This window comes from Homo sapiens, chromosome 18 (assembly GCF_000001405.40).
Source record: "Homo sapiens chromosome 18, GRCh38.p14 Primary Assembly".
NCBI lineage: Eukaryota > Metazoa > Chordata > Mammalia > Primates > Hominidae > Homo > Homo sapiens.
Genome location: NC_000018.10, coordinates 52,043,684 through 52,064,462, shown reverse-complemented (window position 1 = coordinate 52,064,462; position 20,779 = coordinate 52,043,684). Strand labels below are relative to the sequence as shown.

The following is a 20,779-nucleotide window of genomic DNA, read 5'->3' as shown; positions in this document are numbered from 1 at the left end:
GCCCCTTTTCTGGTCCTTTGACTAGAAAGAGAAGGCTGTGGTTGGGGCTTTTTGGTCAACATCCATCGCATTTCCAAGTTGCTGGCTTCCTCAGCTCTAACTCTGAGTTATATGAGGCAGAAAAACAAAACAGGGAACTCACCATATCTTTCCTTGACTCTAAACTTCCCTAGATGGCCTTTTTTTAAAAATTTCCATATATGTTTTGCTTGCCTACTATTCACCTTTGGATCCCTTACCCTAAACAGTATGAGATGGCCAAAAACTTGACACCTGACAGTTGAGACCAACAGCTATTCATGACTCACATATACTCACTCACAGCCACCCTGAGCAGGAGGGTGCCACATGGCATGCAGGGCCACATTGGAGTTGCACTTGGGAACAGAGTGAACCAGTCGAGGCTATGGAAGGCAGGCTTTGTAGCAGCAAGAAGTTGAGGTGCCCCGTGGTCCCCATGGGAAGATGTGATTAGCTTATCAGAATAAGTTTGCAGGCAGGAGGAGAGTGAAAGCCATTAGTTTGAGGACTGGGTGTGGTAAAGCTGATCTTCCTGATAGGGAGACTACCTGGGTGAGGAGCCTTTCCCATGGAGGGGATGGGGGCATATCTGGAGAGAACAGGGGGACTGCTCTCCTAGTTTCACATATCAGGGCAGATAATATGGAATCTTAATTTCAGCCTTACACTGTAAAAATGTCCAGAATTTTTCATTGCATTTAGCATGAGGAATAGGGAAAAGAATGTCTATTCCATATTCTTGGAAGTGAAAGTGATCTTTATAATTTAACCATATATTTTCTGAAGAAGTTTTATCTTCTGGACAAATATGCCAAAAAACTTATTATCGCTTTCCTCTATGTGAAGATTATTATTTTCTATAGATACCAGATATTTAACACTTATTTATAGCAAAATTCATTTCCTTATGCCAGGGCTGAGTCACCACCTACTCAGTCCTCTAACTTTTTTTCATCTCTCTTCCAAATCACTGGCAACTTTAACATTACAGAGAAGCATAGCGGTATGCCTTCTGCTGCAGACTGCCCACTGAAGAACTACAGTGCTTCAGGGACAAGAAGCTGTTGAAGATCAATTTTAATCCATGGAGAAATGCCCTTTAATTTACCAATAACAAATTTTAAAAAATCTTTCTACATCCTTATACAATCCCTAATTTTTTGCATAAAGTGAAGTCTGATTAATAGTGGTACCCTGCAGTAGACTATTTGCTGTAAGAAATAACATAAAGTAAGTATATAAACATAGAACTTTTGGTCCAAGATAGTTATTATAATGTCAAAATTGTTTTAAAGGATATTTAAGAAAGTAGAGTCATTGTAACCAATGTACTAGAATATATGGATTTTCCTTTTTCTTATTTATTTCTCTATTTACTTACTAAAATTGAAGTTAATAAGAGAACAATTTTATTTCCACATGAAAAGTCACACATATTCATCCTTCAAGTAGACGATGATAATATAAAACCCCAAAGTATGAATAGCTCAAGCTTAAACCACATCAACAAGAGTATTATTATTTTGAAATTTATAAAATCTTTATGTACAAACAGTAGGTAGCCAAATTTAATACTTATAATTTTACAGATGTTCTTGAAAATGTCAGATTGTTCACTAAGAAAAATCCTGGAAGAAATGCGAAGAAGGAAAAAAAAAGAACAGAAAGAAAAAAGAATAGGAAATACTTCATATACAGATTATCTATTCTACAGTCAAATTAAACATGCAACTGTTTATCTCAGTCCTGAGAACAAAGTGCTACATCTGGCAAAAAGCACATGTACAATATATATATTTTGAATATTGGCAAATTGAAAAAAAAAGTTTTAACTCCTCTTCTTCTAATTGTCTTTATTGTGAAGCCTGATTAATTTTGGGGAAAAAATTGCAACTTCTAAGGCATTTTGGGATTTCATCCACTTCCTGATTTTAACATTATATTTTCTTTTTTTTAAAGAATCTCAAAGTTGTTCTTACCTAATTAAATATGAGAATATACATAGTATCTTATCCTCTGTCAAAGTATAAAATGTATAGTCCTAATTAAGTAGATACAGCATCCTGAATAGTTTTTATATTTTCCAAGTATATATTTAGCTCTTATTACTGAATATCATTTCCACTATAACCTATGCAGTAAATTGGCAGGTATAAGTTACCCTTATTTTACAGCATAGAAACAAGTATGGAGAGGTTGAATGGAAGGACAAGAGGGCACAAACGACTGAAAGCAGACAAAATCCCAGCCTGCTGACTTCTTACATGGAATTTTCTCCCACTAGATTCTTAGTTCCTTATCAGAAGAGAGAGAGGACTGCTAAAAAGGTCATAAAGATTTTGAGAGGCATCCTGGAAATTATATGCATATGTACTAAACACTATCTGGAGACCTAATAAACATCTTTCACATATACATATAATCATTCCCAAATATATATAAAGATGCAATTACAATTAACTAAATATACATTCACTTTAAGACATTACTGAATGTATATTATCCATGTGTAAATTATAAAACAATGGAAACTAAAAAGGCTTCTCAAATATTGAGTGAATACTTTTTTTTAATGTCAAGAGTCTCTAAATTAAAAAAGCATGGAAATCACTTCTTTAAATCACTGTATTCTTAAAACAAAGGATCTGGTAAGGGGAGCTTAGTTAATATCCTGCCTCACTGATATCCTATATACCATATCATATGAAAAGAAAGGAGGGACATAAAAAGGATTTTACAGCTCATCTCTAAGTTAGTTCCAAAAGAGAGGATAAAGGAAGGAGTCCTCCTGGCTGGTATTAGCTTACTATAATCTGGAATACATTGGTGAATTAAGTAGCTTTTCACTTACAAATTTCTTTTATAAAAACAGGATGAACGGGCTGCAAACTATGGCCAGCAATAATAGAAAAGCAGTCAGGAGACTAGCAATCATAATGATAATGCTACATTTCAACTGGGTACCCCCCATAAAACCAAGGAAACAGCTAAGGACAATTCTAAATGATCCATTAATATGTGTCACACTACCATGCAGCACTTTTCTCCTGTGCTTAAAACATATTTGAATATTAACAACGATGGCTGCATCTTAAATTTAGTGGCATTGATTAATTTTAGGTGTGGCCATTAGCAGAAGATTCAAGTCACCCCATCTCACGTGAATCACAAAAAGTAAAGGGGAGGGGGCACTCCTGTCTGGGCTTTGTGTTCACAGCAATTAGTTTTAACTGTCTGGAAGCAGACTTCAAATCATTTTATAGCTTGTGCTAGATCTCTGTTATTTACCATGTGTGCCCTTCCTATTTTTATGGAAACCAGGATCTCATTCTGAAGGCTCCTGCCTGTCAGGGCTGCAGGTGAAGGCCAGCTGGGGCCAATGCACTTTGTGCGAATATTAGCATCTGAAGAGGGTCTCAGGGGGCCTTGCCTCTTTGGGGACTTAAAGCTGTAGTCAGATGCAATATTCCTGCCTCTAAGTTCCCTTGCTAGCAAATCCAAATCTTTAGGAAAGGAGCAGTCTCGATCTGGTGGCTGTAGTCTGAGCATTCTGAGGTGGGGAACAAACAGAAAAGAAGGTAGGGAAGAGAGGAAACTCCAGAGTATTTGGTTAGGGTTTGACATTAGGGGAATGAAGGAAACAATGGGGCAGGCTAGAGGTCCAAGGCTGTGTGCTCTGTCAGAGAGACTAAAGTTCATTAGCAATTATTTCCAGGTCCCTACGGCTATGTATTTATGATTTCACACAACACACAGGCTGCCCTTGATTAGTGGGTGTGATAGTATTAATACTTCCATGATGGCAAATGCTAGCTTGTAGGAAATCACAGAAAAACACTCCCGTGTCAATTATTAATGTTAACCACACAGAGAGAAATCGAAGTTTAATTAATTCCTGAATTGAAGGAGAAAAGAGAGTTAATCCGGTTTCCAGTATCCTGAGCCTTGTAATTCTTATGAAGGCAAATCTTCCATGAAGAATATCAAAAATTATACACACAAAAAATATTCAGATCCAGGCAGCTTTTTATTGGAAGTAAAGTTTAGCATGCTCATATTTCCACCTACCTACTTAAACAAAGGGGTGTTTCTTGACCTTTATTCCTACCATCTACCTGAAAATTATATCCAATCTCTTTAATATTCTACTTAATTGAAGTCTGAGGATCACAAATAAGTAATTAGAACACAGCAATTAATTGAAACCAAGAAGTATGCATTCAGTAGGTTTGAATAAAAATCAAAGGATTTTATTTCTGTAAGATACCTTAGTGATCATAACAACATTATCTTCTTATCTTGCAGAGAGAAAACTGAGGGCTGGAGTATAGAGGCAATTTGAAAATGCCCAGATTTCCTGATGACTGAATGTCAGCTGATGCTTCATTAGAAAGGAAAGAAGGTGACAGATTATGTTTTGGGAACTATACAAGTAAGCATTTTTGCCTTCTTAATGTGTTTTGAAAAATCAGAAGTATATAATGTATATTGAATTTAAACATATATAAATTGAAGAACCATGAATAGCTCACTGATCTTAATAAATGGACAGCATTACTGATGCTCCCACGGTAACACTCCCTGTTCATAACTTTCTCTTTTTCCTTGTGAAAGAAGGGACACGGAACTCTTTTGGATTTTGCTTTCAACATTTCCCTGCTTGCATTTGTAGTATTACTACTTAGGCTTTCATAAGTGAATGATTTCATACTGGAGGCATTCATTTACAACCAGCCCTCTTTACTGTTTTTCAGATTCATCAATTTCATGTTAATTCATATGCTATATTAATGTTTGCTACTGTATAATATTCAAGTGTGTAATAATGCTATACTTTATCTCTTTTCTTACTCTGTAGATAAAGTATACCTAGTTACTGGGGCTAAAACTGAGATGACCTGTGTCAACATAATGTAATTGTTTGCTCTAGGTAAACATCATGAAGAAAGATGTGATAGCAAGACCCTTGCCCATCATGTTTAGCAGTTCTAAATTACCATGTATCAAACTTTGCCTGATACCAGCTAGTTTCTTGCTTTGAAAGATCTACCCAAACCACTAAGCCCAGATATCAAAGCCCTATAATCATCCTTTCCTAACTTCCTCCTTTTGAATTATTACTAACACTTTGAAAAGGGGACATTCTTCCTTGCAATAAATAACTGCACTGTTATCTTTAGAAAATTCTTGCACTTTACTTTATCCAGGCAAATAGTTTGCAAATTTGGAAAAACAATGGTTTTATAAGGACAAGAGTTTGCTATCTGGGTACAGAGTGAGCTTATCAGAACAATAGCAATGGAAAAAATAATTGATTCACAAGAGTCAGAAAAAGAAGAAAAGGGATCCAAGAAGACATGGGACAAGTATAAAACAGCTAGCAAGATGGTAGATTTAAATACAATCATACTAATCATAACATTAAATGTAACTTGTTTAAATACTGCAAGTAAAAGACAGAGATTGTCAAGCAGGGTAACAACCATAACTATTTGTCATCTATAAAATACCAACTTTTATTGTAAAGAATAGATACGTTAATGCTAAAAACAACATGAAAAAAGACATTATATGAAAACATTAATCAAAAGAGAGATGGAAAAATTAATGTGAGACAAAGTAGACTTCAGAACAAAGAATATTAATTACCAGAGAGTACGATGATTACAAAATCATAAAGGGATTAATTTATCAAGAAGACACACAATATTAAATGTGTATGCATCTAACAGTAGAACTTAAAAAAACATGAAGCAAAACTCATAAAAGTGAAAGATTAATTATATAAAATAATTTATAATTAAAATAGGATATTTTAATTGCAGTCTAATTATATTATCACACTGGGCAGGGTGGCTCACATCTGTAATCCCAGCACTTCAGAAAGCCAAGATGGGTGGATCACTTGAGCTCAAGAATTTGAGACCAGCCTAGGCAACATGGCAAAACCCCATCTCTACAAAATATACAAAAATTAACCAGGCTTGGTGGCATGTGCCTGTGGTCCCACCTATTTGGAGGCTGAGGTGGGAGGATCAGTTGAGCCTAGAAGATGGAGGTTGCGGTAAGCCAAGATCATGCCACTGCACTTTAGCTTGGGCAACAGAGCAAGACCCTGTCTCAAAAAATAAAATAAAATAAAATATCAAAATTATAACAAAATGTCAACACTTCTCTCTCAATTGGCAGAACCAATAGACAGAATATCACTAAAGAGATGGAAAATCTGAACAACACTGTAAACCAATTTAATTTCATTTATATTCTACTCAACAACAGCAGAATAAATCATCTTTTCAAATATACATGGAACATGTCCATGGACCATAACACTAACCTTGACAAATTTAAAAGGACTGTAGTCCTATAAATTCTGTTATTTAATCACAAATTGATCAATGTAGAAATTGATAACAGATAGATATCTGGAAAAATCCCAAAATATCTGGAAATTAAATAATGTATGTTTTACTTCTGTTCCCAGTAATGATGGGCTCCCCCACTGAAAGTAACTGGAAAATAATACACATAATAGAAAAACAAGTAACTGAAAGCTCAGGCTGGAGAAGACTACAAAGAGGGAGGACAAGGGGACTAAACCTGAGACCTCCCAACATAGCTCTTAGACTAAAAAATGAGATGGCTTGGGTCAACATAATTTTACTGTTAGCATCGGGAATTTCTTGCTGTTAGTCCATTTTGTGTTGCTATAAAGGAATATCTGAAGCTAGGTAATTAATTTGAAAAAGAGGTTTATTTTGCCTCACAGTTCTGCAGGCTGTACAAGATGCAAGATGCCAGCATCTGCTCCTGGTCTGGCCTCAGGGTGCTTCCGATCATGGCAGAAGGAGAAGGGGGAACCAGTGTATCACATGGTGAAAGAGAGCAAGAAAGAGAGAAGGAGAGTCCCATACTCTTAAACAACCAGATCTCTTGTGAACAAACTAAAAACTCATCACCAAGGGGATGGCACTAAGCTATTCATGAGATATCTGCCCCCATGATCCAATACCTCCTGTCAGGCCCCACCTCCAGCATCTATCAGGGATCACATTTCAACATGAGATTTGAAAGGTATACACACCCAAACCATATTACTTGCATACCAATTTACTTGAGCGGTTTGCTTATATGGAAAAAAACAGCTCTCTTATTAGGACAATGGTTTACTCAAAAGAACTTAAGACCCTTGCCCATCATGTTTAGCAGCTCTAAATTACTATGTATCAAACTGCCTGATGCCAACTACTTTCTTGCTTTGAAAGACCTACCCAAACCATTAAGCCCGGATACCAAACCCTATAATCATCCTTTCTTAACTTCCTCCTTTTGAATAATCACTAAGACTTTGAAAAGGGGACATTCTTCCTTGCAGCTTTAAGTTTGATATATTCAGATTTGCTTAATAAACAGGTTTTCCTGGAGGAATCTAAAATGCACACTTTTGGGGAGGCAGGTATTATCTTTTTCCAATTGATTTATGATTCCTTATATACTCTGTATAGCAATAGGTTTCAAACTTCTCCTAATTTGTAGCTTGTCCTTTTATTTTAAAAATGGTTTCCCTTGAGGAACCAATGTTTTCATTTCAAATGGAGATAATGATATTCATAGGATAATTTTAAGTGCTATTAGGAAAAAACACAATTACTTCAATTATTTTTGCATCAACCTAATATCTAAGAAAATGCATGTAAATTACTATTACAGTATACTCCTATTGTGTAAGTTCTCAAAATTCCCTATACAAATTTGGGAAGAAGATAATGTTTGTTTTTGATCATTAATACTTAGTGGTCTTGTGCTGCCTCAGCAAGACCTTGGATTTCAAAGCCTTCTGATCTTTCATATCCGTAAAGATGCTCCTGTGTCCAGTCCCAGCAGCTTTATTGGGTTAGTCCATTTTGTGGTTTGTCCAACACAATGGACCAACACAAGCCTGCAGCTCCTCTGATGAGGAAATTCATGTGTTCATATTAATGTGCCATGATATCTTAATGAGCCCTATTTCCTTTCTCCAGGTAGCATTGTCCCTCTGAAATGAGTTTCCTCATCTGTAAAACAGGAATAATATCTCATCTACTTCTTTCACATAGGTCGTTGTATGGGGTCAAATGACATCATTAAGGAGATATATAATCATGCTTGCTTTTAAACCAGGCCTTCAGGAAGTGACAGTAATGCCCCACTTAATAAGGATAGAAATTTCTGAAGTAAAAATGTTTTGAAATAAGTCAGGATTTGCACAAACAAAATGAATACATGTGGGTATTTCAAGCATTTTGACCAGATATTGAGAGATATTCTTATAGAAGACAAAGCTTTCAATTGTACCTCAAATAATGAATCTTGTGTTTGGAAGGGGCCCTAAGAGGCCACCTCACCAGGCTCACTCTCACCTGCCTTTATGCATGACAATGCAGGAATCTCTTCCATAGCATTTCGGAGTCACTCCTATAATTTTCTGTAGTCTTCTTGATAATTCCAGAAACAGGAGATTCACTGTAATAAGGGCAGACCATTCAAGTATTAGATAGCTATAATTGTTGGCCCCGGTCCTCATTTTATGTTCTTGAGCACTCCATGGCAATCTATATGTTCCAGACCCCACAATATGCTCTAGTTCTTCAGGCATGCGTCCACCTCTTTCTCTCTTTAACTTGTCTGAGCTAAACATTCTTAGCACTTTCTCTGGTTATGGAAAATGGCTCCAAATACCTCACCATTGTCCCACTATTTTAGAAGCCTTTGGTATCTCCATATTCCCCTTTTTTTCCTAACACTTAGTAACTTTCTACAGGGAAAATCTTGCCCCAGCCATAGGAAGATCAACTCCATTTACTAACAACCACTCAAAATATCCTTCCCAGCTGGGAAGGTGATGTGAAGACAAAAAGGATGGAAAAAACAACCTATTCATGTAAAGCTTCTCCAATGCACATACTCTGTCTTTCTCAAGGCCTTTCTATCTAGAAACCATGAAATAAAAGTGGTAGAAAGCCGGAGCAATCTGATAATTCGGTTAAATGTCTACAGTATGTGCACACCATATGGATCGCTAACTGCAGAGGAGGAGATCAGTAGCACAGTCCTGTTAACTAACTTGAAAAAAGGGAGAGGGAAAAGACAACCTAGTCCTTCACATCCTGCTATTTGATCATTTTCCAATAAGTGTGCTTGGGTAGGCTTCAGCTCACTTGAGGGTTTCCTTAATGTACAGCCATTGTTCAAGGGAGAGTAATTAGAAACAAGTAATTTGGTTTAATGTAAACGTTTGAAAAATCTCTTCCAGCTCCCTGACTCAGTGATTTCTGTGATAAGCTCTCTCAAAGCATATTTTCAAATTCTTTTCACTTCCCACTCCCTCACCCTGATTACTTTTGAGATTTGGGGGCGCAAACTATTCCTGACTCTGCTTCTCAAGGCTGGGATACAGTGACGTTCCTCTACATTACTTTATAATACTGCATCGTAATAGTAGGTTTGCTTGCCAGTCACTTTGATTAAACTAAAATTCTCAAAGTCTGGAACATCATCCTATTCAATTTTGTATCTCTCATACCTGGCACATTGTCTGATACTTATTGTACCTAATAGACATTTTACAAATGACTGCTAAATGATTGAATAAATAAAGAATTCAGAAAAACCACTAGTGTTCTTCTTTCTTTGATATTTCTTTTGTCATTTCAGAACATTTTCTTTCACACTAAACCAATGTATATCTAGTATCTGGTGTTTGAGAGGGACTATGTTAGATTCTATGAACATACAAATAGCTTTATAATTGCATAGGACATGGTGATCTTAATGCCTTCCATAGCTAAGCCATCCTCTGGTGGAACTCATCCAGATGATCTATTACCCATGAGTCACCATGGTATGGTATTACATGACTGCATTTCTTCAGTCATCACAGATTGTATAGGAATCAGTGCCTGACAAAAATATGACTAGCTGATCTCTGGCCAGTGATCTCTGAGGTGTTATTGTACATGAATGATAGTCAACAATGGCTCATTGTTCTGAGTGGTGACTGATTTAAATCTCTTGGGAAAATTGCATATGATATGCATTTAAAAATGGGAGTCAGTATCAGAAAAATCAGCTGTAGTAGAAGAGAGAGACAGAAGTTGAAACATCAGACTGGTAAAGCACCATCATCAGGGAGGAGGGACTGGCCCAGTGTAAAATGGCCAATAGGAAGCTTCTGGGAGTATTTTCTATCTTCTTACTGCTCTGTGTATTCTTGTAATTAGCCCCATTATCTGAGCCAGGCATAGTATGGTTCTGCTTCTCACCATGGGAAAGAGCCTGATTAATTCACCAGTATAGCCGCCTGCCATCAAGGAGCTCAGCTATTGGAGCCCAGTGGGAAGATACGCTCAGCAATGAATTAATGCACTGTTTGACAATCACAGGCTGGAAGTATGCTGGAAATACAATGGGGCTTGGATAATTGTAAAGGAAGAGGCAAAGTAAGAAAGCATTACTGCTAAAGCAGGTTACTCAAAATGAGGTCTTTCCCTGTTTGGTGCCATGAAGACAGTATGCAAAACTGAAGTGTCAAGCAGTATAGGCTTTAATCAATAGCCATGGAATTGGGAAGCAAGAGCTTGGCTCACCAATCAACTTCTCAGCTTGTGAGAGCAGGAAGTCACAAATACAGGGCTTTTAATGAAGGGGTTGGGCATAAAAAAACAAAGGGAGGAATTCATGTCTGTTCTGGTAATGGGCAGAGAACTCCTTGAAACTGGAGTGCAGCTTTCCTTTTGGTCATTTTATGGTTTCTTCTGGTCATTGTCATGGTGATTGTCAACTGTCATGGTGCTGGTGGGAGTGTCATTTATCATGGAAATCAGATTATAATGAAGTTAGAAGTTTTTCAGAGGTTGAGCTACCATCTTGGATCCCACGAGTTTATCCAGTTTGGTCACAAGAGGGAAATTTTGACCTCAGGCATCCTGTATCCTAAAGATAAGCAGAGTTAAGGTGAGGTAGAAATGCATCTACGTCACGTAGGCATTACACTGGGTAACAAAAGTGCTTCATACAGAAAAGAATATTCTAATTGGGTTAAAAAAAATGGGTTGGGGGAGGTATTTGCAAGGAGGAAGAACCAGCATCAGCAAAAGCCCTGAAGTCTGAAATGGTGTAGGATATTGAGGGAATCACGAGTGACTATCCCTGTCCTCTGAGAGGTATTTTTTTTTTTTTTACCTCCACACATCAGCATACAACCTCAGTGCAAAGATATTGAAAGATTCCATTAACACCACATCTAAATTTCCTGACTTCCCATTTCCATCAGCGGCTAAATGAGCAGATGCTTTGGAGCCAGCATGTTTGGGTTCAAGTCCTTGCTCTGTTACATACTTATTTAAGTGATATTACTTCCCTTTCTTCACTTGTAAAATGGAGATTATATAAACAGTGTTTCTGTCAAGGACTTTTGTGAGGATTAAATGAAATAATACAAATGAAGTGCTCAGATTGGCATCTGACTCAGAGTCATTGCTATGTAGGTGTTGGCTGTTTTTACCCAGGTTCTTATTATCTTCATGCCCTTATGAGACCTGAAAAATTACCATTCTCCACAATTACTCCCCTCAACTACTTTTTATCTAGTTACTCTGTGTGTGTCTAACAGCTAAAATTTTCACTGCTTACCTTAGTCAGAAAGACCCTCTCTTAACTGTTCCCTGTTCCCCATGGGTTCTGACCTTGTGCTCCTCATCCCCAATCAGTACTAACCTTTCCAAGTACTGGAGTGTTTACTGCCAGGGATATGTTCTCAGGGCTATCAAGAAAGGTCCTACTTCACCCTCCACCTACCTTCATCTCTGCACTTGAATGCTAATTTCTAAAATTCTACTGCTAGAGCACATATCTTTCTTATCCCTTCTTGTTACAATAAAAATTTCCCAAGGAGGAATGTTATGAGGCAATTATAACTGTGTAAGCCTTGACTTGGTGGAGGTAAAGATGAATTTGAAGACCGGGAAGGTAAAGAGGGTATTACAGATCCACCATGTACGTATCACAATTTTCCCTTTCTAGATAAAGCATGAAATTTTAACAACAACCCAGGATACTTTGATATTATTCATCTATATTTGTAGCACATATCTACTTTCTTACTTTACACATATAGTATGTGTACTTTTTTGTGATTTGCTTTTTTCATTACATATAACTTTATATGTACCTCTTTCTACTGGTGGGTGTTTAGGTCACTTTCAATTTTTCCTTATTACAAATGATGAAGTAATGACTGTCCTGGTACAAATGGGCAAGAGTTTCTTCTGCAGTACAGATTAAATCCTTAGAATTTGATATAGCTAGGTCTGAAAGTATGCATACTTTAAATGATAGATATTGTAAAACCCTCTCCCAAAGTGTATTCTTTATTTCTACTCCAACCAGCTGTAGATGAGAGTGCCAGTAACTTCACATCATTGTCAACATTGAATATTATCAAAATTGTAAATTTAGCCAACTCTGATGGGTATAAAGTAACAAATCGCTGTTTCGTTTGTTATATTTCTGCTTATGGGTAAAGTTAAGTATGTTTGTTTTTTAATTCTTAAGTGAATTTCCAGTTTTTAAGTTCTTCCAATTTCTTAAGAAGAAAAAAAACCCCACAAAATTGTAATAATGCTCACTCTCCATATATAGGTGGGCCTCATCTAATCAGATGAAGGCCTTAATGGAAAAAGACTGACATTTCCTAAGGAAGAGAGAATTCTGCCAGTAGACTATCTTAGACTTGAACTGCCACATAAGTTCTTCTCTGGGTCTCTAGCCTGCCAAAGTACTTTGCAGATTTTGGACTTACCAGCTTCCACAATCATGTGAGCCAATTCCTTAAAGCGACAGAAAAAGAAGATCCTATTAATTCTATTTTCTCTGGAGGACCTCAGTTAGTATAGCACCTCTGTTCTTAATTTTCTTATGTTTTACTTTCCTGTCAAATGTCAATTTGTATCATTTTCCCTTGGTTAAAATTGTTTTTCTAATCAAGTAGATGGATTGACAAATAGACAAATAGTTTATTTCTGGCTATCTCCATTATATTATTCCATTTCATTTTCTCATTTTATTACTTGAATCAAGATGTTCAGCATGTTTCACAGTAATGACAGTGGACATTGCTACCATCTTAATGGCTTTTGTCGAATTACTGTTTCATCGTTAAGTATGTCTATTATGTTTTGTTGGTAGTTGCTTTATCAGCCTTAAAAAGTTTTTTTTATACTCTTACAATGTTAAGTCATTTAAAAAAATCTACATACATGTCAGATTTTCTAATTTGGGACGTTATTGAGATTTGTTGTTTAACCCATTTGTGAGCAATTTTATTTTTGATGTGAGTCAAATTTGCATTTCTACTTTAGCCCTAATTGATTCCAATGTAATTCTCTTTTAATACAATCCAGTATTCATTTGCTAATAGTTTTCTTGGATTTTTTTTCTTTTTTCTTTTTTTTTTTTGAGACAGGGTCTTGCTGTATTGCCCAGGCTGGTTTCCAATTTGGGGGCTCAAGTGATCCTCCCATCTCAGCCTCCTGAGTGGCTGAGACTGCAGGCATGAGCCATTGTCCCTGGTTTCACATTTTTTAATACATGAGATTTGGTTTTAGGTTTCTTTTCTCTCTGTGAATATACACTCTCCTCATCTGGCTTGTGGAAAATTAGTAGCTTTAAGTCATTTTCTATGCTCTGAAATAGTACAGAGAACAAAGGTATTTTTCTCAAGGAAATTTGGTAGAACTTATCCACAAAATTAATTTGACTTCGTGACTTTTTTTAGGTGGTTTTGACAGTTTTTCCATTTTTTCCCAAAGTTGTTTATCCCATTAGTATTTCTACCTTTTCAAGATTAATTTAAGTAGATAATATTTTTTAGGCATGGAGCTGTGCATATTATTCTCTAATAGCTTTAAATTTGCTTGATATCTGTATTTATGACTGTGTATACTTATTCTCTTATCTAATATTGCCTGTTTTGTGTTCCTTTTTAACATGATCAGATTTACCAATAGTTTTTCTATTTATTGATGATTAAATGAGCCAGATTTTTTAAACAGATCAAATTTACTGATTTAATATTTTCTATTTCATTATTACTAATTTAAACACATTCACTAATTATTTTCCTTCGGGCTCTTTGTGTATTTCATATTTGTTTATTTCTTTAGTTGAAAGTTTAACTCATTTAATTTTAAACCATTTGTTTCCAATATAGATATTTATGTTAAGAATTTTCTTGGGAATCTTTCCCCCTGTTCCATATATAGTATTATTTTTCTATATTTCTATCATTCTGAGAGATTTCAAAAAGGAAGAAAGGGTAGATACACATCTGATATCTTGATACAATCTCTTCTCCTATATCACTTACATGTGTTTCCATTTTAATTAGGTACCAGTTAGGTAACTAGTCCTTGAGCCAGTTTAGTTGTAAAGAGTTCACTTACAACAAGTGATTCAGGGCAGTGGCTCATGCCTGTAAGCCCAGCACTTTGGGAGGCTGAGACAGGCGGATCACTTGAGGTTTCTTTATACTCTTGACCAGCCTGGCCAACATGGTGAAACCCTATCTCTACTAAAAATACATAAATTAGCTGGGCATGGTGGTGGGAACCTATAGTCTTAGCTACTCAGGAGGTTGAGGCAAGAGAATTACTTGAACCTGGGAGGTGAAGTTTTAAGTGAGCCGAGATAGAGCCACTGCACTCCAGCCTGGGTGACAGAGTGAGACTCGGCCTCAGAAAGAAAGAAAAAAAAAAAGTGATTTAGAGGGTGCCATAGTCGTCATTATTTCTGCTCAGTAACTATTTTCTCTGCTGTCTGCTTTCTTGATCCTGCCCTTTGGATTTAAGCTTGGCCATATGATGTGCTGGGCTAATAAAATGTGAGCAGAAGTTAGTTGTGTCAGTAGGACATAAACTTTAAGAGCCATGATTTACTTTCCCTCTATTGTAAAGATTATAGAAGTAGGAGTCAAAATGCAGTATCTATCAGCATGGGCCCCTTATGACTAAAGTGAGCAGAATCACCTGCTTACCTTAAATAACATGTAACATAAGCAGAAATAAACTTTGGCCATGTTTAGCTCCTGAGAGTTCAGAGTGTTTGCTACCACAGCATATCCTATCCAATTTTAACCAATACTCAGATAACTCACTATCATCATCAGAGATCTAGAATTTCCCTTCACCAGAGATGTTACTTTCACAGTAAATGAGCAGGCATTTTTCACCACCACAGAATCACAAAAGGCAAGATATAGTTAAGTTCCCCATAAATGATTGGCTAGTTACATCTCTGGGTTATGAGAGATGACAGCAGAAAAAAAATATATATATATGTTAAAAATATATACGTTATAAAGATCTATTTATAACATATATATTTTTTTTAATTTTTTGAGACAGAGTTTTGCTCTTGTCGTCCAGGCTGGAGTGCAATGACACAGTCTTGACTCATTGCAACCTCCACCTCCTGGGTTCAAGTAATTCTCCTGCCTCAGCCTCCAGAGTAGCTGGGATTACACACACCTGCCACCATGCCTGGATCATATTTTTTTTGTTTTGTTTTGTTTTGTTTTTGAATTTTTACTAGAGATGGGGTTTCACCATGTTGGCCAGGCTGGTCTTGAACTCCTGACCTCAGGTGATCCACCAACCTCAGCCTCCCAAAGTGTTGGGATTACAGGTGTGAGCCACCATGCCCAGCCAAAAATATATTTTATTAGAAGAAAAGGAAAGAGCACTAGTATTGGTGGCTACCTACCTTTGTCTAATTCCAGTCCTTTCTCTGGCAGAACTGCAAGCACAGTAGGTGTTCAGTAGATAATTGTTGAAATTTAACTGAATGCTAATTCACCCAACTAATGCAGCTTCAAGGTATCCATTGCCAAGGTCACCTCAGAGGATCCTCTTTTCTGTGCACAATACTTACAGATCTGGGTAGGAAGGCAACATATTTGCTTTCTACCTATAATTTAGAAAGTCTTATACCTTTGCGTAAGATAAAAGCCACTAATTACTGTCCTTAAAAACCTCACAATTATTTTCTGAGAACTACCTTCTCCCATACCCAGAAGAATTGCAAAGAGAAAGAATACCTTGACTGAATGGACTCAGAGACAAAACTCAGTTCCCTCAATCATCCGAGAGTGTATCTACACTCATATTAGGCCATCATATTGATCTGCACATAGACACGTTTATGAGGTCATCTGTCTCTCTTAATAGACCACTCTCTCCCTACAGAGAGTGGGTAAGTATATCTTCATCCAATAGCAGTAGCAGAGGCTACTTCTCTAAAGAAATATGTTTTCACATTTTATAAATTTACAAGCATTTGTGACGATGTAGAATTTTTAAAAAAGTAAAATACCTACCAGGTATTTCAACATTATTATATAGCAATACCAATCATATCAACTTCTAAAATACTCATGGGCTGGATTAGACTTGGAAAACTAAAATAGACAAGTCAATTCCTTGTAAATTGTTGGAGTAATGAATCTACTACATCATTATTATTTGAAAATGAAATATTAGATGTTTAATGGTTGTTTGGTAACTATTAAATGCAAACTTCTTTATAAAGTATGGACATCAAAAAAAGTATTCATTATTTTTAAAGAAGCAAAGATTGAAAAATTCAGATTTGCTTTGCTAGGAAGAGTATTTAACCATGCTTAGTACAATATCACACCATAACAAACCCACATAACATTTCTCAGCAAACATACATTTTAGCAACTGATGATATTCAAATATTAGATAAATCAAATACTATTAAATGAGAGAAAAATTTTAAGGTATATTTTGAACCAAACTTGCTACTGCATTATGAGCACAAAAATTATCAAAGAAATATCACCGGTAATAAAATGGAAATATTAACAACTCTTTGATGAGTAGTAGCCAGATTATCATTTTTGTGATGAAGTTCTAATCTTCCATTCTGTAAAGTTACGTTGCATTGCTAAAAGTAGCATTAACCAAAAATAGTCATGGAATGGCTAATGTGTCTAAAATTGTTATATGACTATCAAGGAAAATATTATTAGAAAACAGATTTCCATGACTGGATGAAGTCAAACGGAGATACCAAATATGATTACCTGTAATGAGGAACTCAGAGCAACATTAAAAACTCTGCTGAACAGAAGGCCTACAGTGGCCTCTTTTATTATTTAAATGAAAGACACTATAAACAACTCTTTGATAGTCCCATGCTGGGCTGCTGTTCTAGCCCAATCAGACTTGATTAGGAGTGCACGTTCAGCCTTTTATGAACACCTGTGTCTAAAGCCCACAAATAATTAGCTTAGCCATACCATTTCACTCTAATAATGGTGTAATTTGCCACGCCTTTCAGGCTCCGGACAGCTGGTGCTATTGAAAAACACCTCAGGATTAGGCCCTGACTCCCAGGCCTGAGTCTTTGGTGGCGGGGGGGGTTCTTAGGTATCCATAGCAACACACTTAGCCTGCAAATTATCACCTCTAATAATAACTGGAACAGTCTATCTTTATTTTATTCCAGCTATCCATGAGAAAAGATAAGGCATAGAAAAACTGAAAATCTCTAAAATAAAAAATATATAGTATTACCATGTCCATAAACACGTAAGATTGGGAAGGCAAAGGATTTTTTTTAATCACACCTGTTCAATGTTTATTTGATTATTTAATATAAATCTGTTAAAAGATAACCGAGGGAAAATGAGGTCCACTACTGAATTCATCAGTGCTAATTGACACAGTTACCTACAGGTGCATGGAAATCTAAAGGTGAATTATGATCTTGAAAAGCTCTTTGGCTGAGAGCAACATTGTGACCACTGTACTTTCATCTTAGTCCCTAGAAGGTTATAAATTGGACAGCCTACAAATGCTGATGGGAACACTCTGGCTTCCTACAGCTTCTCAGTACTTCAATCAGCATGTTCCATTAACACAAACACGGTAGGCGGGTAAGGCTAGTTCAAGACTCACCTCAAATATTGGCCCAGTGACATGTCAGTCTAAGGAATATGTCCAAGACCAAAAGAGAAATTCTCCTCATATCAGAATACACCACACCGGCTGAAACAAACAAACAAAAAGTATCTGCTTAATAAAATATGTCCACATATGTTTAGAATAAAAGGCAAGTTGACATTCTTTTTCTATTTTAATAGAAAACTCTTCACTGCTTGTGGATTATCAAGTTTCAAGGAGTTGTAGTCATGAACAATGTAGCTCTCACAGGATACCATTGTGGTTAAATGGTATTTAGCTTTGGAGTAAGACTGCCTGGGTTAAAAATCTAAGCTTTACCACATACTCATTGCATGACTGCGGAGAGGCCAATTACCTCCTCTTAGGCTGCTGTCCTACCTGTACAATGGGAATAATAATAATATCTTCTTTGTAAAGAGAAGTTGAAAATTAGTAAGATAACGTACATAAAATCTTTCTGCAGTATTCTGGTACATGGTACAAAATAAATATTAGCTTGGTAGACCTGAAGATGTGCCACCCAGATCCTTCTTTCCTTCAAGGTAAGATTGTCACCCTAACCGATAGCAGACAGCTTCCAGCTGTCAACAGCTATATGAATTACTTTGGAGAGTTGCCTCATCCAAAGTCATGCCCTCTGGAAACAGCCCACATCCAAATGCTGACTGAGATGAGGGTGTAAAGACCCAGCAACCCAAAATGGGTCTTTGACCCAACATGAGAAAGCTCTGGAAAGCAACCCTACGAGACTAGCTAAGATTCTATTAGGACTACATCACAGCTCCACATCCCTCTTCCTTCCAAAGTTATTGATCTAATAAACACTTCACACAGCACACTCCTTCTCAGTATCTGCTTCCAGAGCATACAACCTGCAACACTGATAAAGTGTTAAAGTGATAAAGAAAATAATTGTATGTTTGAGATTTCAAAGAATATCTCTGGATATTGCAAAACAATTAAATCCACATTTGGTAAATTCAGTTCAACAAATGTTATTATTAGGTCTTAGGAAATGCAAAGAAAAATAAGACACAGTTCTTATTTCTTGAGAAACTACTCATACTCAAGCAAAAGAGCATTCCTTCCAAAGCAGATGTCTATACCACAACTGGCTAATTGCTAATTATTTAATACAGTCCCACAGAAAGTGAGTTCACAACAAAGCAAAGAAAAAACTGTTTCACAGCATTGGGCAACGATACAGAGAAATATTAAAAGTTGACTTGATTTGAATTTTGAAAGATAAAGTGGAGATCCATAAGGTAGAAAGTGAGGAAGTATGTTCAAAAAAAAGGGAACAGCATAACAATAAAACACACTGATGCATCAAAGCATTAAATCACTTGAGAAGTTTAGAAAACAGCAAGAAGGTAAGAGGAAAGGAAACCTGGTATAGACATAGTTGAGTGGAGTAGCTATTCATGAGGCTAGGAAGTTTATCTGGAGGCAAGTGGTACAAAGCTTTCAACATTATGCAAAGAAAAACACCATGTTTGAGTTTTTCTAACAAGCGCTAGGTCTCTAGCCACCATTTTAATCTATTAGTAATCACTCTTTATTCTAAAAGACCTTAGACAGGTGTGAGGATGAGGTGGGGGTAGAATTGACTTGGTGTGGATTTTTTTGGACTTACTCTGATTTCATCAGATTATTAGATCTATAGGTTTGTGTATTTCACCAAATATAAGTTTTCAGATATTATTTCTTTAACTATTCCCTCAGTGCCACTCTTTCTCCTCTCTTGGGACTCCAATAATATGAATGTTGGATTTTATGCAATTGTCACATAGGCCACTGAGTCTCTGTTCATTTGTCCTCAAGTTCAACAATTTGATCCTCTGTCATCTCCTCTACTGCTGATCCCATCCATGGGTTTTCTGTAATAATTTCTGTTATTGTATTTTCTCAGCTCTATCATTTCCATTTTTTATAACTTCATTTTTATTTTACTGAGATTTCCTATTTTTCATTTCAAGAAAATTTATAATTAATTATTAAAGTTTTCTTATTACAGCTACTTTAACATCCTTTTAAGCTTCCACCATCTGATTCACCTTGGTTTTAGTATCAGTTAATTATCTTTTTAAATTTACATTGTCATATTCCTGGTTCTTGGTAGGACTGGTGATTATTTATTGCATCCTAGACATTTTGTCTATTATGTTAGGAAAGCTTGGGTCCCATTTAAATATTTTATTTTGGCAGACAGTAACCATATTGAATTTGAGCATATAAGTCTTGTCCTACTCTTGAGGGCAATGATTCCAATGGCAGTTTAATGTTCATAGTCTTTGCAGTATTAGTTTGTTCTTGTTGGCCTATCTGGTGTCGACAGTAGGTCTCACTGGTTATTGCTGGCACTGCCTGAGGGGGTAAAATAGATTTCCCTAGGTAAGGCCTCCAGGTATCTCTTGGTGGGAGATGGGTATGGTGGGATCTCTTTACCACTGCCCCTGTAGCTGCTGTAGTATCATTGAAAAGAGGAGCAGAGTCTTGTGCATGGGGACAAAGAAGGCTTCCAGACCAGGCCACTAGCTATTGCTGGTTCCCTTGTATACTTCTGCTGATATCTACTGAAAAGAGAAAGAGCCTCAGCTCCCTAGGGAAGAGAGGCTTCCTGTTGGTGCTGCTTGCTGTGACTAGGGCTCTCTTTTTGTTTCTGATCACCTGCCCATTATTTGAGCAGGTTAGGAGAGCCTTGGACCCATGAAGAGAAAAGGACATCTCAG

General features: G+C 36.5%; 1 long non-coding RNA gene across 5 annotated transcripts in view, besides 1 other annotated feature; it reads right to left on the bottom strand.

Moving 5' to 3' along the window:
- Positions 1-16,208, bottom strand: part of LOC105372121 (uncharacterized) — a 175,442-nt gene extending 159,234 nt beyond the window's left edge. For 3 of the 5 annotated variants that reach the window (XR_001753538.1, XR_935473.1, XR_935474.2), the window contains exons 1-3: positions 16,154-16,207; positions 15,820-15,991; positions 8,421-8,523 (exon numbers count right to left, since the gene is read on the bottom strand). This is a non-coding gene — a long non-coding RNA (uncharacterized LOC105372121). Of the gene's footprint in view, positions 1-8,032; positions 8,076-8,420; positions 8,524-15,819; positions 15,992-16,153 lie in introns of those variants that run through there. The other 2 variants (XR_001753540.1, XR_001753539.1) reach the window with 2 other exon arrangements.
- Positions 16,322-18,248: an enhancer, noted in NCBI's record as "VISTA enhancer hs1384". NCBI's record gives its function as "enhancer in: neural tube[9/11] | hindbrain (rhombencephalon)[9/11] | midbrain (mesencephalon)[9/11] | forebrain[9/11] | nose[6/11]" and the evidence as "EXISTENCE:transgenic organism evidence [ECO:0001131][PMID:17130149]".